Below are 25795 nucleotides of genomic sequence, written 5' to 3'. Positions count from 1 at the left end.
GAAGAGACCACTGACCATGGACTTGTCCTGGCCAATTTCCAGAGGCTGTGCACTGTGTGTCTTTCTGCCCCTGCACAAAGCCCTTTTGATATGCAGGACCCAGCTGTAATTCATTTAGTTCTTAAGTCCTCACCCCAAAGCAAAGCTGAAATGCATGTATCATGTGTGTTTGCTTATTAGACATGAGAGCCTCCACGCCATGTGAATATCCATAGCTCCTTCTATAGCCTGCTGAGTGTGTACACTCGGCCAATCCATTTGCACAAATTTGTTTCTCATCTTTCCCTCTCTTAAAGTGCCTGCTCACAGTCTCTGTGGGAGGCTTTCCTTCCCAGCCTGTTAAGATGGCCGTCCTGCAGCTTCAACCCTTTCTGAGAAATAAAGTCTCCTTTCTAAATTTATAAACTGGGTGATTCTTCCGTTGAAAGCACAAGCTGTTGGGAAGAGTTATATGGCAATTCCATAAATGCCTGGAAGACAAGTGTGGATAGGGTAGGGTAAGAAGTCCTGGGGGCTGCACACCCCACTCTGATGGAATTTCCCTCCAGAAACTTCTGGGTTCTCAAGATGAGAATCCAAACAGATTCCCTCATGGCTCTGTCATCAGGAGAACTATACTCTGATAAGTATGCCCAGAACTTCCTCCAGACAGACCCTATAGGGAAAAAATACTTTTCAAGATCTTTATTCTGTGAGGGGAAGGGATTCTTTTCCATCCCAGACAGCTTCATCTTAGCCTTCCTGAGTCATGAAAAGGAGTATAATTAATAAAACATCTGGGGTCAGATTCAAGAAAATAATCTGTGGATGCTGCAGCCAGGAGGGGGAGTGGAGGACGGAGGAAAATCAGCTGTACCACTGAATACTCCTTGTAAATGGTACAGCCTAGAGAAAGAATAGCAAGAAATCATTGGAATTCAATTTCCAGAACATATACTGCTCCCCTACCCACCACATCACCTCACCACCAATATGATTAATCTGGATTAAAGAGAAAAGTGTGGAAAGGCACAGACTCCATCTAAGGACTAGAATTTAGGGAAACCAAAGGCAGTGGGAGAGAAAAAGTCAAGGACAGTAAAGTGACTTAAAACCTCTTAGACCAACAGCTTCAGGAACAAGGTCACATCCTCTCCCTCACTGAAATTAGATTTACCTCTCATGGGGCATCTGCAGGGTGCGCAGGTGAGAACTGGCAAAGAGAACATGAAGGCACTTTCCAAATCTCCATTAGTACCTAGCTCGCTTTAGCTGTTTGGAAAAAGCAAAACCACAACAAACATAACCAGGACTAGGATCAGTGTTGGAAGCACTTTTCACTGGCAAGACACTAAGAAGGAGGGCAAATTCGAGGCCAGTTACTATGCAAATATGCCACTGTGAGTGTGTGTGGTGGTGAGCTTTGAGACATAGGGTCTGTGGGTAAAGTTATAATCGATAAAATCTTCAACCACAGAATCCTAAAAAAAAGAGCCTTCCCCAAAGTCCCATCAGTTCCTGGACTCGCCATGTGTCTGGACCGTATCAGTGGATCCGGAGCTCCAGGGAAGGGGCTCCCTGATGGCTTTTATGATTCCTTGCTTGCCGTGCTGAGGTCTCCCTGTAGATTATGTTGGGTTTTCTAAGGCCTATTTTCTATTGTAAGAGGTGGTGGGGGAAACAATTTCTGTCACTGAAAGAGCATTCTGAGCCAGGGCACAGCCCCTTCCTACTGAGCTTGAGATTCTGGGAGGAAAAAGTTCTCTGACAGGAGGAAAAAGTTCCCAGACAGGAACTTCCCTGCAGGGCAGGAGCTGAGCGGCAGGGGGCGCTCAGGGAGCACCCAGCACAGGACCCAGCCCTGGGGCAGGTGCACAGGAGGCTGGGGCAGGGTTTTCTCTCAGGAATTGAATGTTCCTTATTTCAAAGCAATAATGACCTAACATTTAAATAAGAATTTAGCAAGTACTGATGTGCCTGTAAGTATTTTATTGTATACGCAGCCTATACCTAACCCAATAATTTAATGCAAACCGGATTTAAAAGGAGAAATGTCTAGGTCTTTCAAATGTATTTCTAGTTAGGAATTGAGGGGTGGTTTTATTAATTCAATGGGTGTTACTGTCCGGAGACACACTCATCCCAGAAGTTAGATGTGCAGAGGGCAAGGCTCAGGAAAAGTTCAGGTAGACAGTGAGCCATATGAACAGGGAATCACATTGAGGACCATGTCCTGTGAGATTCTGGGTTTCTGTGAGAGGAGTTCTGTCTTCATGGACTTCTGGGCATGTCAGAGGACAAATATTAAACAAAGTTCAGGGCAGGGAGCTCAGCATCCCACTGTGGCGTGGTCCACATGTCACCTATCTTCTTCCTCAGGGTGGCGTGGCCTGAGCTATGAAAAACCTGCCTCATGAATATGCAAATGCACTGCTGTCTACCGAGGTAAATACAGATCTTTCCTTGCCCAGAGACCATCACACAACAGCCACATCCCTCCCCTACAGAAGCCCCCAGAGCGCAGCACCTCACCATGGACTGCACCTGGAGGATCCTCTTCTTGGTGGCAGCAGCTACAGGCAAGAGAATCCTTAGTTCCAGGGCTGATGAGGGGACTGGGTCCAGTTAAGTGGTGTCTCATCCACTCCTCTGTCCTCTCCACAGGCACCCACGCCCAGGTCCAGCTGGTACAGTCTGGGGCTGAGGTGAAGAAGCCTGGGGCCTCAGTGAAGGTCTCCTGCAAGGTTTCCGGATACACCCTCACTGAATTATCCATGCACTGGGTGCGACAGGCTCCTGGAAAAGGGCTTGAGTGGATGGGAGGTTTTGATCCTGAAGATGGTGAAACAATCTACGCACAGAAGTTCCAGGGCAGAGTCACCATGACCGAGGACACATCTACAGACACAGCCTACATGGAGCTGAGCAGCCTGAGATCTGAGGACACGGCCGTGTATTACTGTGCAACAGACACAGTGTGAAAACCCACATCCTGAGAGCGTCAGAAACCCTGAGGAATGAGGCAGCTGTGCTGAGGCTGAGGAGATGACAGGATTTATGAAGTTTAAATCTGTTTAGAAAATGGGTTGAGTAATTGAGTAAAACAGCAATGGAAAGATGTGTACACTGTCATTATGTAGGAAATAGTATTTTCAACTGTCACCCTATAAGTAACACTCACAGAGTGGGAAAGGCAGCCATCAATCAAGCTGATGCAAACATTCCCATGGGGGCTTTGTGGGGACATACATTTTATAATTGGATCTATAAATCATTAGAAACAGGATTGCTTGATCTCATGGTAAGACTAAATATAATTTCCAAGAAGTGGCCGAAATTTCTTCCAAAATGTCTTTGCCCTTCCTTTTACACTGAATTTATTTTAAAGGAGTTTTAGGATCACAACAAGTTTGAGTAGAAGAAACAGAGTTCCCATGCACTCCTGCCCCCCGACGCTCAGCCTTCTCTGCTATCAACACCCTGCACCAGTGTCATAAATCGGTTACAGAGGATGAATCTCCACAGACACATTGGTTGTTTCCTTTTCTGGTGGTCCCTGGTATAACAAGCCTCAACTATCTTGAAGCACCCCAGGTTCAAGTGGATTCTTCAAGTGGGTTACTGGGAATGATGCCAGGTAGAAGGAAAGTGGGTGGGACCATTCCTCTTTGCACTCTTTCCTCAAGGATCCATAAAATGTACATTTACATGGAGCTCCTCTTTCTCCTGGTTTTATATGCCTCTTCCCCAATGGTAAGGTTTCCCAGTGTTTACAGCGGGGGTCCCCAGTCCCCGTGCTGTGGATCCGTTAAGGTGTGCAGTGCGTTAGGAACCGGGCCACACAGCTGGAGATGAGTGGGGGCGAGCCAGCATCGCTGCCTGAGCTCTGTCTCCTGTCGGATCAGCTGTGCATTAGATTCTCCTACAAGCCGAATTCACTTTTTTTATATATATACTTTAATTCTAGGGTACATGTGCATAACGTACAGGTTTGTTACATAGGTATACATGTGCTATGTTGGTTTGCTGCATTCATCGAATTCTATTGTGACCTGCACATACAAGGGGCCTAGACTGAGCGCTCCCTATGAGAATCTAATGCCTGACGATTGCAGGGGGAACAAGTTCATCCCAAAACCACCCGCCGCCATCATCCATGGAAAAATTCTCTTCTACCAAACTGTTCCCTGGTGCCAAAATGGTTGGGGACACTGGTGTAGAGGCAGGTCTGTACCTTGGAAAGCCAGCAGCTTCTGGTGAATCCCATAATTAATGTCCTTTAATGAGAAGTGGAGACTTTGGTCATGAGGGCCTTCGTGAATAATGCCCTACAGTTGGATTCAAAACATTGTAAGCTCTTGGGGGGTGTTTCTGGATAAAGCCCTTTGTGCAGAAAATGCAGACACATCCATGGGATCCATGCAGGAAAAAAGCTTCCTTTACAAAGTGGTTTGGCACCTGGAAGGAGCTCTCAGGGTTGGGCACTGTACCCTTTGCTGGCTGCACTTTAGCCAGAGGCTTAAGCCTGATTGGTCTTGCAGTGGGAGAGCCTTCCTGGGGTCAAAGGTTACAAAAATGCCTGTCATCTTCCAGCTGAGCAAGCCCATCTGCGTGCTTGTCAGTGTCAACCCCATGAGGGGTGCACTCTGGAAGATGACAAGATGCACACAAACCTCCTCCCACTGATTATCCACTACCACACACTCAGCTGCAACCCGTGCTCCAGAAACGGACAGGGGCCTGCAAGGATAAACAGAACGGAAGTATTTTATTACCTGGGAAAGCACTGCCAAATGCCACGTTTCAGGAAGGTTAACTCATAAGTGTTCAGGAAGTGACTGAAGGGCAGTGGTGGGTGAGGTGACAGGACTGCCTCAGGGCTTCACATGAGGAGGGCTCCCTCCCACACAGCCTTTTCCTCCAGGAGCTGCACCAGGAACTCACAGAGGATCAGGAAGGATTCTGAGAACATTCTTCTGTGGCGCTGACTAGAGGGGCAAAATAAATTATAAAAAATAAATCAATTCTAAATATAGTATGATGTTTGTTATTAGAAACTATTTCTGGATCCTGTGGGAACCCTGACATAAGCCACCATTCTCTGTGAACAAACATTTAACCTCTCCTTCCATGGGGAGGTCGACGAGCTTGGATTGGTTCTTTCATGGATAGTATCCCCCAAACTCCTCTCCACTCCCTGCGTATCCCCCGGTCTCTCAGTGAGAAGTTCTCCTGAGTGGAATGTGGTTGATGTAGTGAGATCTTCAAATTTCCCGTCTTCTGTGTTCTCATGTTCTCCCCTTATCTGAGATTAAGAAATGCACCTGCATGTAGTAAATTATAGCCTACTGTCTCTCATGGACAAAATAATGGCCACACCAACCAACCCTGTGGCTGACAGCAACCACTGGCGGCCACCATCCCCTCCACAGCCTGTGTTGGAACATCACCTGAGAGATTGTGTTAGCAACTTTCCTTCAGAATCATCTTAAAAACTTTGTGTCCCATTTCACATGGAGACGTCATTTTTCCATTTCATCTTCATAGAGAAATAGAAGGAGAAGAATACCAAATACACTTCCTATCTCCAGATTATTCAAATATAATTGTCCCTTTATCACCTTCTGATTTCTGGTCTTCACAGAATACTCTACAAATTTTTCTCACTGGCGTTATACCAAAAGTTGTGAAGCACCAGATACTGGGATTAATTTAACCAACATTATTATTCTAATAATTCTTAGAATTTAGAATTACAATTATCATCTTTTCGTATACGGATAAACTAACCTATGCCTTTGAAAATAAGCCCTTACATGAGAGTGAAAAGCTATAGATTTGGAGGATTTCCTTGCAAATCCAATATTTGGAAAAGGTTTTTTATCACAAATATACAAATTAACTTACAATTGAACAACAAAACCACAGAATTTAATTTTAAAATGGGCAGAGACCCGAATAGAAACCATATCCAAAAAACAAACATAAAAAGTGATCAACTTGATTTTCATTAGGTGTACTTATGTTTAATATTTAAAAAGTTCTACTAAACTATGAGAATGGGTAAAAATTACAAGGTAGACAATATCAGATGGTGATGAGGAAGTTGAAAAACAGGAACTTTCACCCCTTGCTGGTGGGAATGCCGAAATGGCACATAGAAAACTACAGTTAATAATTTATTGTATATTTCAGAATAGCTACAAGATAAGATTTGGAATGTTCATAACACTAAGAAATAATCAGTGATAGAGATGAAGGATATCCTAGTTATCCAGATTTGATCACTGCACATAAAATGCTTTTATCAAAATATCAGTTGTACCACCTAAATATTTTGAAATATTGTGTATCTATATAAATCAAACATTAAAAAACACCAATGCAGTGGAATCCAGCTAATTGCAGATTCCCATTAGATGGGATGTGCTGCATGATCTGTAAACTAATCAGAATCTGTGGGTTTGTAAAGGACTTTAGAAATCAACTAGGCTGCTTGTTTCTAAAGATAAGTCTCCCTAGTTTAAATATTTTCTTAATGGGTGACGATTTTGAACATAGAAGAAATAGTAATATTTGTGTCTTGTAAGTTTTCTTCTTCTCATGTCACGAGAAAAGGTTTGCAGGGAGGAATCTGGGACCATCTTTCAAGTCTCAACTTCACTGTGATTACCTCAGTAAGTATTTTCTGATACCCCTGACTAAGATAAGTCTCGTATCTGTCCTAGAAACTAAAAGTAGAATTCTAAGCATCTACCTGACCAGATGGACCCTTCCTCTTGACCAAGGAGTTCCAGAGACACTTTTAAACCTAGCTCCGGCCGTGTTAGAAATAGAGGATCAGAAATGCCTCATTATACCCTCCTCCCTTTGGAATTCAAGCACAACTAACCAGCATTTTTATGAAAACAGAGCTTAAGGCTCAGAAAACAGATTATTTGTAGCAGTAAGATACCAAATTCTAACCTTACTCGAGAATATCATCACAGGACAGAGAGCAGGCATTGAAAGGAATCAAAGGCTTTTACCCTAAAATATATTCCTTTGACATATTTTAAAATAGCCAGGCACAGTTATCTTTTGTGAGAGAGATTTACATTCTGTAGAGAATCTCCTTCCCTTTCCAGGTCTTTTTCTTATACCGAGGAGATTAGCTGAGGGTCTAGCTTCTTTTAAAGGTCTTAGGAGAAAACATTTCCCAGCTATTGCCTCTAAAGGTGGTCACATAAGAGACTTCATCTACATAGTAAGAATCTTGTTCTCCAAAACCTGTTATCTTAACCTAGAAACATTTTTCTACCGGTTTCAGGTCTTTAGAAAAAAGCTTAAATCTTTCAATCAATTGTCAATCAGAAAATATTCGAACTCACTGTAAGTTGTAATCCCCGCCCCACACTGCCTCACTTCTAGCTGTTTTGTCTTTATGGACCAAATCAACATATATCTCACATGTATTGTTTGGTGACTGTCTCTCTAGTACACTAAATTTAAGCTACCATCAAGCCACTTTGGGCACATGTTCTCAAGATCTTCTGGGGCTGTTCACAGTTCATGGTCCTCACATTCGCCTCAGAATAAATCTCTCTAAATATTTTGCAAGGTTGCTTTTTCATCAGTAGTTCTAACAGAACCTACTCTGTGGTTTTTGTTAAAAGCATTATATTAATATAGTATTAGTAATATTAGTATTAGTTATAACACATGTTGGAAAATTCTTATGAAGTTATGCATAGACTAACAATGGGATCAAGTGTAAATGTTTCAAAGTATTTAAGCAAGTTATTTCAAAATTTATCTTCTGCAGATACTTCTATCAGATTCATTATATCAGCTAATTACTTGCTTTATGATTTTTGCATTTTATTGTAGATGATCACACCCTATATTTTCTTGGCCTTTATCGTAGAAAATTGTGTGAAACTAGTCAGGGCTACATTTGCAAGTAATTGTCGCAGTGGCTGCCTGAATTGCAGTGGGTTTCCTCTGCAGCCACCAGTCACTCAGATTACTCCAATGACACCTTAATTTTGTTTCCTGCTTGGCTTTGGGCCTTAGTCTTGTGCTCTCCAGACAGACTCTGTCTTTCATCTCCCCTAGGTCAGGCCAGAGCCACATGGACCTGATGATTGTCAATATGGTGGGAAGGGTCGCACTGAACGGGCACTCTCTGTCCTTCTGAGGGAGCCATACTGCAGGCAGACATGGCAGTCCTGGCTCAGGGTGTGTCCTTCCAAGTATCCCTGCCCTTCCTGCAGGTGTGATGCTGATCCATGCATCTTCCTCCCATTCCTGGGTAGAGGGTCTCCTTGTTCTTTCCCCAATCTTCTCCCAGCAGCCACTATGTCTTCCCACTGATGTCTTCAGCTTCCTCTTTTCTGCCCTTCCCAGCAGATGAGTCTGTTATTCCTGAGGGAAGAGAGAGGAGGTGGGAGATGAGGCTGTTATTCCTGAAAGAATGGACAGAGCTTTGGAGCTTTTCTTTCTTCTACCCCAGTTTCTACGAGTTCCTCCAGTGCCTGTAACACAGAGCTGTCAGTGGCTTTGCCCCTGCATGTTAATTCTTTGGTCATGTAGTGGTGGTGAGGGAGCTGGGTCTGGATGCATTTCAGCCACAGCTGCTGTTCCACTTCCCCACACAGAACCGTCTCGGGAGGAAGAGGTTGGAGATTTTTCTGATGTGTCCTCAATCCTGGGAGAAAAGTTTTCAATAGCAATAGGAATCTCTCAGTTGTATGTCCGCTGAGAATTTAAACAATAACTTCTTTATAATACTAAATTTTAAACAATCCAATGAATATATCTAATTTAATTTTGTATTAGCTTATGTGACATTTGCTGGCCTCTCCCCCAGATAAGGTCATATTCTCTTCCTGTTTGTTCCTGCAAGTCACTGAATTTCACAAGATGTAAGGTCTCTTGATTATACTATAACATCAATAATCTGGTGTACTAAAGAAAATGTGCTAATTTGCAGCTTACTAAAATTAGTTGTTTTAGTAAAAATAATATATTTGTTATAGCATGCCTACATCTCCAGGCTGAGTAGAAGCTTTATTTGTAATACTCAGAAACTGCAAATAACACACATATTAAGGAGCTTTCTAAATAAATACTATGGGTGAATTCTTTAACTGGAATACTGTTCCTCATTAGAATCAACACATTCTTTATACACAACCAAATTACTGACTCCCAAGTAATTATACTGAGCAAGAAGCCACACAAATGAAATTGAAAATATAAGATTTCACTTTAACAAAATCTTGAAAAATAGATCTGAATTAACAAAGATGAGAGGTTGACTCAGTATGGTGAGAGGGAAATAATGGGGAGGCAGGAATGAGAGGAACACAGGGAGGCTTTTAACTGTAATCATCGTTATCTCGATTGTTATTTTGGATACACAGGTGAGCACACGTGAAATTATGTTTTTTTTCCTTCGGAGACATGGTTTTGCTTTGTCGTCCAGGCTGGAGCTCCGTGGTGAGATCATAGCTCTCTGCAGCCTCAGACCCTGGGTCTCCAGCAATCCTCCTCCCTCTGCCCTATGTAGCTGGGACTACAGGGGTGCACCACCATGCTCGGCTTCAGTGCGTATTAAACCGCACACTTCAATTATGCAGTATTTATTATATAGCAATAATGCCTCAATAAGGGTATTACAAATAAGTGGATAATTTGTTAAAGATTGATGGAAAGATAGATACCAACATGAGAAATGTATGACACTCAAGAAAATAAAACTGTAGGAAACTTGCTTTTCTTTATATTTGTTAGGTAATCACCACAGTGTGTACACATCACACCATGTTCCCATTACAGAGAAAAGGTTCTGCGAACCTCACGAGCTGTGACCCCTGTGTGCTGGGCTTGGTTCAGGGAGAAGTCAGGTCCAGTGGTGAGAAGCACAGGCCCAGATGCCCAGGCTCACTCTGACCAAATGTGAGCACTGGGGACATTGTAAAACCCACCTGTGCTTTTGCTGATAATTTTTCATCTTTAACATGGAAATAATATTGATACTATATACCATGGTTTCTCTGCGTATGTAAAAATAAAAGATGATTGGTGCTAACTTTAAAAATATGCAGTTTATGTAGATCTATGGTACCTCAATAAAACTGTTTTAAAATAAAAATTACAAAATTATAAGATTTTTAGGTTTTAAGGTTTAAGTTTATCACAAAACAAACTGACAATAGGAAAGCACAATTTCCCAATGCTTTCAATATCACAGATCTCCCCGAGGACATTCTGACATGCTCTGAGCCCCACTATCTCCAAAGGCCTCTCACCCCAGAGCTTACTATATAGTAGGAGATATGCAAATAGAGCCCTCCGTCTGCTGATGAAAACCAGCCCAGCCCTGACCCTGCAGCTCTGAGAGAGGAGCCCAGCCCTGGGATTTTCAGGTGTTTTCATTTGGTGATCAGGACTGAACAGAGAGAACTCACCATGGAGTTTGGGCTGAGCTGGCTTTTTCTTGTGGCTATTTTAAAAGGTAATTCATGGAGAAATAGAAAAATTGAGTGTGAATGGATAAGAGTGAGAGAAACAGTGGATACGTGTGGCAGTTTCTGACCAGGGTTTCTTTTTGTTTGCAGGTGTCCAGTGTGAGGTGCAGCTGGTGGAGTCTGGGGGAGGCTTGGTACAGCCTGGGGGGTCCCTGAGACTCTCCTGTGCAGCCTCTGGATTCACCTTTAGCAGCTATGCCATGAGCTGGGTCCGCCAGGCTCCAGGGAAGGGGCTGGAGTGGGTCTCAGCTATTAGTGGTAGTGGTGGTAGCACATACTACGCAGACTCCGTGAAGGGCCGGTTCACCATCTCCAGAGACAATTCCAAGAACACGCTGTATCTGCAAATGAACAGCCTGAGAGCCGAGGACACGGCCGTATATTACTGTGCGAAAGACACAGTGAGGGGAAGTCATTGTGAGCCCAGACACAAACCTCCCTGCAGGAACGATGGGGGGGAAATCAGCGGCAGGGGGCGCTCAGGACCCGCTGATCAGAGTCATCCCCAGAGGCAGGTGCAGATGGAGGCTGTTTCCTGTCAGGGTGTGGGACTTCATCTTCTTCTGACAGTTTCTCTAGTGAACCTCTCTAACCTCAGAATTCTGTGCTTACTAATGTCATCTCTACGTATTTTTTAAAAGATCATTTTAATATGAGCACCTATTCTCACACGCACCAAATGCAGATTGACGCTTACAGAGATGAAAAGTTCTCAACCATGGTCACCAGGATGAGAGTCCTGAGGAAACTCAGGGGTGCCTGGTGACTCTTCCGCAATCAGTCCTGGGACAGAAACCTCAGGGACAGCCTTTATGAGTTTTGATCACATCTAACAGAGAGGATGGGCCAGGGCCAGAGTCATGTAGAACCTCACAGGTTCCACGTCTGACCCTTCTCCTGACACTAAAGCCAATCAGCATCAGCACTGACCTGGTGCTCCTTTTGCTCCCAATCCATGTTCTTTCTTTGGAGAGTTTCTTCTCCCTTTTTTATTTGCTTTTCCTGTTTCCTGAAAAAGAAACAGATGGTCCCCTTGGTCCACATTCCAGGGCTCAAGGCATTTTCTTGGAGCTCAGGTGGGGCTCAGGCTGTGGCTCCTGCAGCCACGTGGGAGAGGCTGATGGGACTTCCTTCTCTCCCCATTTTCTCAGGACCCTCCACTGTGTTGTGTGTAGGCTCATCTGGGAATGCAGTTGACCATTAATACTGAAGGGGACAAACTCATTTGATCAAAATGGGATGTGGATGTGGAGTTAACCCTGTTCCGTGCACAGTGTCAGAGTCGTCTGCTTCAGAAGTAGTGTTAGAAAGAGCTGGTGAAATTTATCAGAATCAAGATGGAGCCACTTGTGTTAAAGCCCTAATGAATGAAGCTGGGGAAGGCCATGAAGGAGGGTTCTAACACACATATTCCTGATAATAAGAACTACCATAAATAGACTCTGCACAACCATAACCTTGCACAGAAGCCACCACAACATTAAAAGAATTACTTCTCCCAGTGTATCTGCCCAGCAACTCCCTGTTCAACTTTACACCGATGTGCCCCTGTTATTGATCCTTCTAGCCCAGGACAATTGTCTTAAACAGCTGATGTGACCCTCCTCATTTTTCCTTTATTCTTTATCTTCCTATACCAACCTGAATGCACCCATACATTTCAATTGCAATACACTTCCTAGAATACATATTATTATATTTTAGAGTCTCTCTCTCTCTGTTATTCAGGGTTGACAAGCTACAGATGGACATGCCACTTTCTTTTTTTATGACTTTTTTTAAAAATTTTATTATTCTTGTACTTTAAGTTTTAGGGTACCTGTGAACAATGCAGGTTTGTTACATATGTATACATGTGCCATGTTGTTGTGCTCCACCCATTAACTCGTCATTTAGCATTAGGTATACCTCCTAATGCTCTCCCTCCCCACTACCCCCACCCCACAACAGTCCCTGGAGTGTGATGTTCCTCTTCCTGTGTCCATGTGTTCTCATTGTTCAATTCCCACCTATGAGTGAGGAAAAAAATGATGAGTTCATGTCCTTTGTAGGGACACGGAAGAAACTGGAAACCATCCTTCTATCATTCTCAGCAAACTATCGCAAGGACAAAAGACATGCCACTTTTCTGTGAGATGTGGAGGATGACAGTTTTTGGAGATGTCTGGGAATACCCAGTGTCCAGAAGATCATCCATCAATAAGTGCAGGCTGGAGGTCCCAGAGAGAGGCAAAGCTGCTGAAACACCATGGAATTTCATTTTCTCCAGTTCTGCTCTGATGGAATCAGGCCCACCTGTTTTGCTTGTCTTAAGTAAATTCACAGCACCACATATATTAGTGTTGCAGTGAATAACTACAAAGTCTATCCTAACCAAGTGTACCATCAAATTTACCATTACCCAGAGGGAAGAATCTTTAACATGAGATCTATGTTCATAATTTTTTAAGGTGAAAAAGTGATCACTATCCAATCAGGCAAATATGATTTTGCTAATGAGTGGTAGATGTTGCATGTATTTTTGGATGTCATCCCTTTTTCAGATGCATGGCTTGCAATTATATTTTCCCATTCTGTAGGTTGGAATTATTTCCACACTTTGTAGAATCTTTTTGTTGTGATGTAGTTCCACCTGTTTAATTCTGCTTTTGTTGTCTGTGCCTTTAATGTGAAATATAGGAAATCATTGTTAATATATTATTTTCTGGGTCGGGGAAATTTTACAATTGCAGGCCATATGTTTAAATATCTGGCCCATTCAGAGTGATTTTTGTGTTTATTCTAACCCAAAATTCTTAACTCTTTGCATGTGTACATCCAGTTTTTCTAACACATTCATAGGGAGAGACTTGGTTTATCTGTTTTATATTGTGGGTTCTTATGCTGAAAATCAGTTTGCCATTGATACATCAGTTTATTTCTGAGCTCTTTCTACATATTTATGCCAACTCCATCCTGTTTTTATTATTCTACTTTTGTTATTACTTTTGAAATCTGGAAGTAAGATGTAAGTTTATTTTTGCCTTTTTACAGATGCTATAGCAAAATATTTTAACCTTTCACTCTTCCATATAAAAGTATGGCTTTAAATAATGACTTTTATTATATACAGGTTATATTCTTGTATTCCTAACTTTTAGAGGTTTTATTATGAGATCTTGAATTTTTTAAATGTTATTTTCTATGTCTGGTGAGAAGTTAACTGATGCTTTTCCTTTATTCTCTTAATTTACCACATCAGATTTATTGATTTGAAGATATTGATTCATCAGCGCATCTCAAAAATAATTTGGAGCTTGTCATGGTGTACAATCCTTTTAAAGTCTTATAGAACTTAGTTGACTATGAATTGGGAGTAGCTTGTTTACATATACTAAGAACATTTGTCAGAAGTTTGGTTTTCTTCTTTTGCCTTGTCTATTACTGGTAATACAGTGATTGGAGCCTCTTAGAAAGAGATTAGAAGGTGGGGACCTCACGGATTTTTTAAAAAGTTAGAGAACGGTTGTCATCACTTTTTTAAACGCTGAGAGTCATTTGTTATCTAATATATAACCCATCATGAGGAATATCTCTAGTGTGCTTGGGAAGCATGCATATTACGCTGCTGTTGGTTGGAATGTTCCGTAGATGTCTGTTAGGGCAGTTTGTTCGAGAGTGCTTAAGTCCACGGGCTTCCTAAGAATTTTTCTGTGGATGCTCTGTACATTATTGAAGGCGAGGTTTTGAAGTCTCCTAATTTTTTTATAGTTTTCTATTTCTCCTTTTATACATCTTAAAGTTTCATAAATGTAGTTATATTTCTAGTTTTTCAAATATGTAAAAGAGAAATAAAAATATTTGCTTAGTAATTTTAATGAGAAAATCACATAACAAGAAATTATATTTTCCAAATGCTGCCATCAACACTAAACTCCTCCAGGAGTCTCACATCTGCCCTGGGCTCTGCTCTCTCCTCAGGCATCCCACCTCAGCATTTGCTGCAGAGGAGGGGACGTGAAAATAGGGCCCTCCCTTTCCTGATGGAAACCATCGCAGCCCTGAGCCTACAGCTCTGGGAGAAGAGCCCCAGTCCAGCATTACCAGGAGTTTTGATTTGACAATCAGCTCTGAACACACATGGCTCACCATAGAGTTAGGGCTGAGCTGGGTTTTCTTGTTGCTATTTTAAAAGGCAAATAATGGAGAACTAGAGATATTAAGCATGAGTGGATGTGAGTGAAAATACAGTGATTATGTGTGGCAGGTTCGGACCAAAATGTCCCTATGTTTGTAGGTGTCTAGTGTGAGGTGCAGGTGGTGGAGTGTAGGGGAGAGACAAGAGGCAGAAAAGTGTGCAGGAGGCCGGGTGAGGCTGTAGACACTGTCAGCCCACTATGCCAATCCCACCACGAGTGCTGGAGAAGGTGGGAGTCTGATGAAGCTTACTAACAACCCTGTGGTCCAAGCTAATTCCATCAAGGCCATTGGTTCTTCCCAGAGCATAGCTGTCCATCGGGAATCTCCCATGTGCCCAGCAGCAGCCACGCGTTAGCAACTTCACTGTGCACAGTCATTGTTTGGGAGGAGCTCCAGGATGTGTCTCTTTGTCAAAAACTGGGTGATGGTGTCAGAGAGCTGTGCCGGGTGCCTGGTCCACGTGCTCCCTGACATTGGAGGTATAGGAGGTGCGTTCTCAGGGTGGAAACACCTTTTATGGAAATGTACATAATAAATCACGATTTTCCTTGGTTCTCTTAGACGACATGGAGAAGCAAGCATGCACCCTGCAAACAATTGTAATTTCCTGCTTTACCCCAAGTTCATGATTTCTTGTAAACTTTGATTTCTGTCCAAGTACAGAGATACTGATTAGAGTGAGTTTGGTTCTTTCCACACACTAACCCTCACCTCCCCCAGATAGAGCACATTGTCCTCACTCTGAGTCTGAGGGAGGAGCTGTTCCTGTACAACTCAGGGACTGCAGAGACCCCCGTGTGCAGCTTTGCAGAGTCAGATCTTTCCTCATGTGAGGCGACCTCCACTGCCCGTGATTGCTGCTCAGGTCTAATTGTGGATTCGGGATTATGACACCCTTTGGGCTATCACAGGTCAATCTTATTCTGAAAATCACCGTAATTATAGACAGAGGTAATAATCCAGTACCCATTCTTCTGTCCGCAGTTTGTCTTTCTTATTTGGTTGAAAGTTTGAAGAAAAAATGTGACCATATATTCATCTAATTCTAACCTCTGAATCTGCTATTTGCTCTCGGGGACCTACAAATTGCAAAACAGTGAGTTCTTCATTTTCATCAAAATGTGCAAATTTGTGAATTTCAACATGTTGTTCAGAACCTGTGCATGCCGACAACTGTGATTCTCGGTGCACTCCTGGCCTGGTGAAGCCCTCACAGATCCTCCCCCTGGCCTGTGGCATCTCTGCTTCTCCATTACAACCAGTGCTTCCTGCTGGAGCTGGATCCGTCACCCCCCGGGGAAGGGACTGGAGCGAATCAGGTGCACAGGTCATGAGGGAGTGCACAATCCAACCCACTCCTCAAGAGTCCAGTCACCATCTCCAGATCCACATCCAAAAAACAGTTTCTCCTACAGCTGAGCTACCTTAACAAGGAGTACACAACCATGATTTTTATACAAAAGACACAGCGAGGGGAAGCCATTGTGCGCTCAGAACACTCTACAAATTTTCCTCCCTAGTGTTTTACCAAAACTGGTATATATTTCAGATACTGAAATATTTACAACCTACGTTATTATGCTAAGAATTCTAAGTTAGAAGTTAGAATGATAATTGTCTCTTTTTTTTCCTTTTTTTTTTTTTTTTTTTTGATACTGAGTCTCACTGTTGTTGCCTGGGCTGGAGTTCAATGGTGCAATCTCGGCTCACTGCAACCTCTGCATCCCAGGTTGCAGCAATTCTCCTGCCTCAACCCCCCAAGTAGTTGAGATTACAGGCGCCTGCCACGATGCCCGGCTAATTTCTGTATTTTTAATAGAGACGGGGTTTCACCATGTTGGCCTGGCTGGTCTCAAACTCCTGACCTCAGGTGATCCAACCGCCTCAGCCTCCCAAAGTGCTGGAATTACAGGCAGGAGCCACTGCACCTGGCCAATTATCCTCTTTTCATAGATGGATAAACTAACCTAGGCCTTTGAAAATAAACCCTTATCTGAGAGTGAAAAGATAAGCCATAGATTTGGAGAGTTTGCTTGCAAATCAAATATTTGGAAAAGGACTTTTATTACAAATATACAAATTACCTTACAATTGAACAACAAAACCACACAATTTAATTTTAAAATGGGCAAAGACCTGAATAGAAAGTGCATCTAACAATAAGTATAAAAAGTGACCAACTGGATTTTCATTAGGTAAATGTATGTTTAATATTGAAAAAATCCTAGTAACCTAATAGAATGGGTAAAATACACAATATAGACAATACCAAATGTTGACGAGGAAGTTGAAAAACAGGAATTTTCACCCATTGCTCCTGAGAATGCTGAATTGGCACATAGACAACTACAGTTAATAATTTATTGTGTATTTCAAATTAGCTAGAAGATAACATTTAGAATGTTCTTACCACAAAGAAGTAGTCAATGATTGAGATGAAGGTTGAAGGTTGTCCCAGTTATCCAGATATGCACATAATTTTCTTTTTTTCGAAATATCACATGTACCACATAAAGGTTTTGAACTATTATGCATCTATTTAAATTACACATTAAAAAACACCAGTGGAAGGGAATCCAGCTAATTGCAGATTGCCATTGGATGGGACGTTCTGTATAATCTGTAAACTAATCAGAATCTGTGTTTTTCTAAAGGACATTAGGAATCGTTATACTAGTTTCTAAAGATAAGCCTTGCAAGTTTAATTATTTTCCTAATGGGTGGCGATTTTGAACATTGAAGAAATGTTAGTATTTGTTTCTGGTTAAGTTTTCTTCTTCTAGTCTCAGGAGAAAAGGTTTGCAGGGAGGAATCTGAGACTATCTTTCAAGTCTCAACTTCAATGTGATTACCTCAGTAAATATTTTCTGATACCCCTGAGTAGGGTAAGTCTCATATATGTCCAATAAACTAAAAGTAGAATTTTAAGCGCCCAAGCTGACTGAATGGAACCTTCCTCTTCACCAAGGAGTTCCAGAGACTTGAAAACCTAGTTCAGGCCACATTAGAAACAGATCAGAAATGCCTCATTATACCCTCCTCACTTTGGAATTCAAGCACAACTGACCAGCATTTTCATGAAAACAGAGGACTCAAGGCTCAGAAAACGGATTCCGTGTAGCAATAAGATACCAAATTCTAACCTGACTCGAGAATAGCGTCATGTGACACAGAGCAGGCCTTGAAAGGAATCGAAGGCTTTTACCCTAAAATATATTTCTTTGACATATTTTTAAATCGCCCTGCACAGTTATCCTTTGTGAGAGAGATTTACATTCTGTAGAGAATCTCCTTCCCTTTCCAGGTCTTTCGTTATACTGAGGAGATTAGCTGGAAGTCTAGCATCTCTTAAAGGTCTTAGTAGAAAAACATTTGCCATCTATTTCCTCTAAGCGTGGCCACATAAGAGACTTCATCTGCATAATATGAATTTTGTTCTCCAAAACCTGTTATCTTAACCCAGACACTTTTTACTACTGATTTCTGGTCTTTAGATAAAAACTTAAGTCTTTCAATGAATTGCCAATTGAAAAATCATTTAATTCACCTGTAAGCGGTAATTATCTCCCCACACTGCCTCACTTCTAGCTGTTTTGTCTTTATGAAACAAATCAACAGATATCTCACATGTATCAATTGATGTTATTAAATTTAACCTGCAATCAAACCACTTTGGGCACATGTTATCAGGATCCTCTGGGGCTGCGTCACAGGGCATGGACCCCACATTTGGCTCAGAATAAATCTCTCTAAGTATTTTCCAAAGTTGGCTTTTTATCGATAGAATCTACTCTGTGGTCTCTGTTACATTCAAAAGCATGATAGTAATAAAGTATTAGTTATTAAAAATAAGCACATGTTGGCAGTTTCTTACGAAGTTACGCATAGACTAACTATGGGATCAAGTGTAAATTTTCAAAGTATTTATGCAGTTATTTCAAAATGTATGTTCCACAGATACTTCTATCAGATCCTTTATATTAGATAATTATTTGTTTTATGACTTTTTTTGTAGATGATCATGCCGTATCTTTTCTAGGCCTTTATTGTAGAAAATTGTGTGAAACCAGTCAGGGCTACATTTGAAATTCATTGTCACAGTGGCTGCCTGAATTGCAGTGGGTTTCCTCTGCAGCCACCAGACACCCAGATTCCTCCAGTGACACCTTAATTTTGTTTCCTGCTTGGCATTGGGCCTTAAATTGTGTGTTCCAGAGAGACTCTGTCTTTCATCTCCCCCAGGTCATCCCAGAGCCACATGGACCTGATGATTGTCAATGTGGTGGGAAGGGTTGCACTGAACGGGCACTCTCTGTCCTTCTGAGGGAGCCACACTCCAGGCAGACATGGCAGTCCTGGCTCAGGACGTGTCCTTCCAAGTATCCCTGCCCCTCCTGCAGGTGTGATGCTGATCCATGCATCTTCCTCCCATTCCTGGGTAGAGGGTCTCCTTGTTCTTTCCCCAATCTTCTCCCAGCAGCCACTATGTCTTCCCACTGATGTCTTCAGCTTCCTCTTTTCTGCCCTTCCCAGCAGATGAGTCTGTTATTCCTGAGGGAAGAGAGAGGAGGTGGGAGATGAGGCTGTTATTCCTGAAAGAATGGACAGAGCTTTGGAGCTTTTCTTTCTTCTACCCCAGTTTCTACGAGTTCCTCCAGTGCCTGTAACACAGAGCTGTCAGTGGCTTTGCCCCTGCATGTTAATTCTTTGGTCATGTAGTGGTGGTGAGGGAGCTGGGTCTGGATGCATTTCAGCCACAGCTGCTGTTCCGTTTCCCACACAGAACCATCTCGGGAGGAAGAGGGTGGAGATTTTTGTGATGTGTCCTCAATCTTGGGAGGAAAGGTTTCAATAGCAATAGGAGTCTCTCAGTTTTAAGTCCTGTGGAAATTTAAATAATAACTTCTTCATTATACTTAATTTTAAGCAATCGGGTAAATATATCTAATTTAATCTTGCATTAACTTATATGACATTTGCTGGCCTCTGCCTCAGATAAAATTATATTCTTTTCCTGTTTATCCTTACAAGTCACTGATTTGATTTTCACAAGAGGTAAGTTCTCTCATTTGCCCTATACATCAATAAACTCATGTATTAAATAAAATGTGCTAATTTGTAGCTCAGTAAGGCTAGTTGTTGTAAAAATAATACTTTTTTATTGGATGACTACATCTCCAGGCGGAGTAGAAGATACATTTGTAATACTCAGAAACTGGAAATAACACAAATGTTAAGGAGATTTATAAATAAATGATAGGGGTGTACTCATTAACTGGAATACTGTTCCTCGTTAGAATCAACACCTTTATACACAATCAAATTACTGACTCACAAGTAATTATTCTGAGCAAGAAGCCACACAAATGAAATGGAAACTAAAAGATTTCACTTTAACAAAATATTGAAAAATAGATCTGAATTAACAAAGATGAGAGGTTGACTGAGTATAGTGAGAGAGAAATGACGGGAGGCAGGAATGAGAGGAACACAGGGAAGCAGGGAAGCTTTTAACTGTAATCATCATTATCTTGATTGTTATTTTGGATACACAGGTGAGCACATGTGAAATTACATTTTTTTTCTTTGGAGACATGGTCTTGCTTTGTCATCCAGGCTGGAGCTCAGTGGTGAGATCACAGCTCTCTGCAGCCTCAGACCCTGGGTCTCCAATCCTCCTCCCTCTGCCCTATGTAGCTGGGACTACAGTTGTGCACCACCATGCTCGGCTTCAGTGTGTATTCAACTGCACACTTTAATTATGCAATATTTATTATATAGCAATAATGCCTCAATAAGGGTATTGCAAATAAGTGAATATATAATTTGTTAGATAAAGACTGATGGAAAGATAGACACGAACATGAGAGATGTATGACACTTAAGAAAATAAAACTGTGGGAAACATGCTGTTCTTTACAATTGTTAGGTAATCACAAAAGAGCATACACATCACACCATGTTCCCATTACAGAGAAATGGTTCTGTAAACCTCACTAGGTGCAACCCCTGTGTGCTGGGCTTGGTTCAGGGAGAAGTCAGGTCCAGTGGTGAGAAGCACAGGCCCAGATGCCCAGGTCACTCTGACCAAATGTGAGCTCTGGGGACACTGTACAACCCATCTGTGCTTCTGCTGGTAATTTCTCATTTGTAACATGGAAATAACATTGATACTACATACCATGGTTTCTCTGCATGTGTAAAAATAAAAGATTATTGGTGTGAACTTCAAAAATATGCAGTTTATGTAGATCTATTGTACCTCAATAAAACTTTTAAAATAAAAATTACAAAATTATAAGATTTATAGGTTTTAAGGGTTTACCACAGAACAAACTTACAATAAGTAACCACAATTCCCAAATGCTATCAATATCACAAATCTCCCCCAGGACGCTCTCACATGCTGTGAGCCCCACTCTCTCCTCAGGCCTCTCACCCCAGAGCTTACTATATAGTAGGAGACATGCAAATAGAGCCCTCCCTCTGCTGATGAAAACCAGCCCAGCCCTGACCCTGCAGCTCTGGGAGAGGAGCCCCAGCCCTGGGATTTTCAGATGTTTTCATTTGGTGATCAGGACTGAACACAGAGGACTCACCATGGAGTCATGGCTGAGCTGGGTTTTTCTTGCCGCTATTTTAAAAGGTAATTCATTGAGAACTATTGAAATTGAGTGTGAGCGGATAAGAGTGAGAGAAACAGTGGATACGTGTGGCAGTTTCTGACCAGGGTTTCTTTTTGTTTGCAGGTGTCCAGTGTGAGGTGCAGCTGGTGGAGTCTGGGGGAGGCTTGGTACAGCCTGGGGGGTCCCTGAGACTCTCCTGTGCAGCCTCTGGATTCACCTTCAGTTACTACTACATGAGCGGGGTCCGCCAGGCTCCCGGGAAGGGGCTGGAATGGGTAGGTTTCATTAGAAACAAAGCTAATGGTGGGACAACAGAATAGACCACGTCTGTGAAAGGCAGATTCACAATCTCAAGAGATGATTCCAAAAGCATCACCTATCTGCAAATGAAGAGCCTGAAAACCGAGGACACGGCCGTGTATTACTGTTCCAGAGACACAGTGAGGGGAGGTCAGTGTGAGCCCGGACACAAACCTCCCTGCAGGGCCGCGCGGGGCCACCAGGGGGCGCTAGGGACCCACTGAGGGCGGGACAGGAGCAGGTGCCGGGAGAGGTTTCCTTTCTCCTCAGCTGGAAAAGTCAGGTTTGTGTTTGCCGGACTCTGGAGCTTTCTAGGCTGTGACGTTTTATTACTTGTGTTTATTATGAATTTATTATCGTTAGTATTTAAATTTTAGTAATTTAAAAATTATATATATATGTTTACACTTTAATGAAATAAGCATTCCTATTTGCACCGATTCTTCCAGAGTTTTATTAACATTTGTTGACGTCAGCAGCTACGAAGCTATAGGGACATAAATTTATAACCATAGAAAGATGTATAGGCCAGGCGCGGTGGCTCACGCATGTAATCCCAGCACGTTGGAAGCCATAGGTGGGCTGATCACTTGAGGCCAGGAGTTCGAGACCAGCCTGGGCAAAATAGTGAAACTCCATCTCTACTAAAAATGCAAAAATCAGCTGTGCGTATTGGCATGTGCCTTTAATCCCAGCTACTCGGTAGGCTGAAGCAGGAGAATCACTTGAACACGGAAGGCAGAGATTGCAGTGAGCTAAATGGCGCCACTGCACTCCAGCCTGGGTGACAGAGCAAGATTCGATCTCAAAAAAACAACAAAAAACAAAAACAAAACAAAGAAAGAAAAAATATATAAATACAAAGACATATGCATATATGTGTAGGAATTCATAATAAACATTACAATAAAGTAATTCTAAAAATATGTCCTAAAGAATCAAACTTAATGATGAGCTAAATGTAAATTATTTGAGTATTTCACAATTGATTTTGGTTATTTTTAATTGTTTACATCAATTGATTTATATTTGTTCATTTAACTACTGTTAAATAATGGTTATTTCAAATGTGGTTGTCACAATAAATAATAAGAATTTGAATTGATAAATGATAATTATCTTAATCATTTCTTAATTATCTTAGTTATCCCATATGGTATTCACAAATCATAACATTGCTTCTTACCTTGTAAATATAAACAACCATAATTCGTGAATTTAAAATAAAATTTTTTATTTTAATTTTTTAAAATTTATCCCAGATCATTATCTTTTTCTTCAGTTCCAGCTCTCATTTGATGGTCTCAAGGGCCCATCTGCACCCCTGTCTCCTGAAGGCTTCTGGGAGTGGCTGTGGGACAGGCAGAAGCAGGAGCCCATGTGAGTCCACACGACCTGGAGCCTCCCTCTCCTTGGATTAGGCCATCTCCTCGGGATCACAGGGCTCTTCATTATCCTCACCCCGCTGTTGTACCAAACAAGCAACATCACACTTCAATTCATCACGCTTTGCTTTAATTTTCTAAATCATCGTGAAGGTGATAATGTTAACAGTAAATGTATCACTAACAAATAGGATAAGCCCTTTTCCATGGGACAGGGTTTCTTACAAGGACTTGACATGTATTATGTATTTTCCATTTATTTATAGATGAGATACTAATATCTCCATATTGGAGACAATTCCTTTAAGTCATTTCTTAAAATTAATTTTTCCTAGGACTCCAAACAAATCCATGATATAGTTGAAAATTTCAGGTGTAAGAGTTGGGCCAACATTGAGACTATATTAACATTTATAACATGTGCTTGCAAATATTGTTATTTTTCTGTCGGCTGTCCCCAGTTATGGTTTGATACAAAATGTTAGTAATTTATCCTAATAAAACAGTTTACAATATTATATCAATAGTTTATTAACTTTGTATAACTAATAATATAAAATGTTCAACATATTTTAGCCATATTTTACTTATTTGTGAAATGTGTGCTTATTAGTTTTTCGTTTTAAGATGTCACCTTTATCTTTTTTATTTCTGGGATTTTATTCTAGTAGATATAACTAAATGTCTTTAAATAATTATTGTAATAATCACATTTATATTTTCTATTTGAATTTTCATATGCATGTTATTAAGATTTTAATTTCAATAAAAATATTTTCCTCCAATTGTCTATTTTCTGTTTTTATGAGATAACATATACAAAAATGCATAGCTCTTCAATGTACAGTTTGAGGGTTTCTGGCAAATGTGCACGTTTGTCTCCAGCACCTAAGTTAGGGTGAGGAGCAGGTCCATCTCCACAAGTGTCCTCTCAGTGTTTCCAGTCAGCTCTCACATAAGGATTTTTTTTTAATTTCAACTTTTAATTTAGATACAGAGGGGACGTGTGTGGACTTGTCACACGGGATTATTGAGTGATGCTGAGGTTTGGAATCCAGATTCCATCACCCCCTCCCTCCACTCTCCAGCAGTCCACGGTGTCTATTGTTCTTCTATTTATGTCCATGTGTGCTCAATGCTGAGCTCCCACATAGGAGAATATGTGGTATTCGGTTTTCTGTTCCTGCATTTATTTGTTTATGATTAAGACCAACAGCTCCATTAATTTTGCGGCAAGGGACATGATTTCATTCTTTTTCATGGCTGTGTAGTATTATATAGTGTAGATGTACCATATTTTGTATATTCAGTCTACCAGTGATGTGCATCTGGGTTAAACTACGTCTTTGCCACTGTGACTAGCACAGCCATGAATACGCATGTGTAGGTGTCTCTTTGGTAGAATTATTTATTTACTTTTTAGTGTATACCCTGTAGTGGAATTGCTGGGTAAAATGATATCTCTGTTTTAAGTTCTTTGAGAAATCTCCAGTCTGCTTTCCAAAGTGGCAAGACTAATTTATATTCTCATCAACAGTGTATAAGTGTTCTCTTTTCTCCAAAGTCCCACAAGCATCCTTTGTTTTTCGACTTTTTTGTGATACCATTCTGAGTGGTGTGTTGCTGCTCACCTACAATCATCTCATATTTGATAAGGCTGATGAAAAGAAGCAATGAGGAAAGGACTCCCTGTTCAATAAATGATACTGGGACAACGGGCTAGCCATATGATGAAGATTGAAGCTGACCCTGTACTTTCAACATATATAAAATTAACTCAAAATTGATTAAAGCCTTAAATGTAGGACCTCAAACCATAAAACTCCTTGAAGACACCCTTGAAAACACTCTTATCGACACTAGTTTTGACAAAAAATTTTTGGCTAAGTATCCAAGGCCAGTTGCAACAAAAAGAAAAATAGACAAGTGGGACCTAATTAGTTAAGGAGTTTCTGCACAGTAAGACAAACAAACAAACAAACAACAAACAAAACTATCAGCAGTGTAAGCAGACAATCTACAGAATGTGAGAAGATATTCACAAGCATTGCATCCCACAAAGCCCTAGTATCCAGAGTCTGTAGATAAACAAATCAAAAAGAACCAAAAAAAAAAAAACCCTTTAAAAATTGGCTGATATGGTTTGCTGTGTCCCCACCCAAATTTCAACTTGAATTGTATCTCCCAGAATTCCCATGTGTTGTGAGAGGGACCCAGGGGGAGGTAATTGAATCATGGGGGCTGGTATTTCCCGTGCTATTCTCTTGATAGTGAATAAGTCTCATGAGATCTCATGGGCTTATCAGGGATTTCCGCTTTTGCTTCTTCCTCATTTTCTCTTGCCACCCACCAGGTAAGGAGTGCCTTTTTCCTCCCGCCGTGTTTCTGAGGCCTCCCAAGCCATGTGGAATGTAAGTCCAATCAAACTTCTTTTTCCTCCCAGTTTTGGATATGTCTCTATCAGCAGTTTCAAAATGGACTAGTACATAGGCAAACGACACAGACACTTCTCAAAAGAATACATGCAAGTGCCCAGCAAATATATTGTAAAAATGTTTAACATCACTAATCATCAGAGAAATGCAAGTAGAAAAATGTTCTGATTTCTGTCACTATAGGAGGTCCCTTTTTCTTGTTTAGAACTTCATATACATGGAATAAAATATTATAGATCATTTTTGTAAGGGGCAACTTTTACTATTTGTGAGGTTCATTCATGTAATAGCATTTATCAAGGTTTTGTCATCATATGTATAAATATGTATGTACTCATACACATATAGATATTTCATATCTAAATCAATTACATTAA

The 25795-nt window shown here is 41.2% G+C and overlaps 3 pseudogenes, 2 gene segments (V, D, J or C) and 1 further gene, besides 1 other annotated feature; all 6 read left to right on the top strand.

The window, feature by feature from the left end:
• Nucleotides 1–25795, top strand: part of IGH (immunoglobulin heavy locus) — a 1293408-nt gene that overhangs the window by 600349 nt on the left and 667264 nt on the right.
• IGHV1-24 (immunoglobulin heavy variable 1-24) lies at nucleotides 2513–2950 on the top strand. The segment is given in 2 exon segments: nucleotides 2513–2558; nucleotides 2644–2950. Coding segments are annotated over 2 exon segments (353 nt in total), but the record flags the coding sequence as incomplete, so codon positions are not given.
• IGHV3-23 (immunoglobulin heavy variable 3-23) lies at nucleotides 10435–10890 on the top strand. The segment is given in 2 exon segments: nucleotides 10435–10480; nucleotides 10584–10890. Coding segments are annotated over 2 exon segments (353 nt in total), but the record flags the coding sequence as incomplete, so codon positions are not given.
• IGHVIII-22-2 (immunoglobulin heavy variable (III)-22-2 (pseudogene)) lies at nucleotides 14623–14810 on the top strand (annotated as a pseudogene). Its single transcript is given in 2 exon segments — nucleotides 14623–14667; nucleotides 14770–14810. Coding segments are annotated over 2 exon segments (86 nt in total).
• Nucleotides 15868–16136, top strand: IGHVII-22-1 (immunoglobulin heavy variable (II)-22-1 (pseudogene); annotated as a pseudogene). The gene is given in 1 exon segment: nucleotides 15868–16136. A coding segment is annotated over 1 exon segment (269 nt).
• IGHV3-22 (immunoglobulin heavy variable 3-22 (pseudogene)) lies at nucleotides 21273–21734 on the top strand (annotated as a pseudogene). The gene is given in 2 exon segments: nucleotides 21273–21318; nucleotides 21422–21734. Coding segments are annotated over 2 exon segments (359 nt in total).
• Nucleotides 21458–21625: a silencer, noted in NCBI's record as "fragment chr14:106714469-106714636 (GRCh37/hg19 assembly coordinates)". NCBI's record gives its function as "represses an EF-1alpha promoter that drives an FKBP-Casp9 reporter gene in an ReSE screen in HepG2 liver carcinoma cells {active_cell/tissue: HepG2}" and the evidence as "EXISTENCE:reporter gene assay evidence [ECO:0000049][PMID:32094911]".

Source organism: Homo sapiens, chromosome 14 (assembly GCF_000001405.40).
Source record: "Homo sapiens chromosome 14, GRCh38.p14 Primary Assembly".
Taxonomy (NCBI): Eukaryota; Metazoa; Chordata; class Mammalia; order Primates; family Hominidae; genus Homo; species Homo sapiens.
This window is presented reverse-complemented; position numbering and strand designations above follow the sequence as displayed.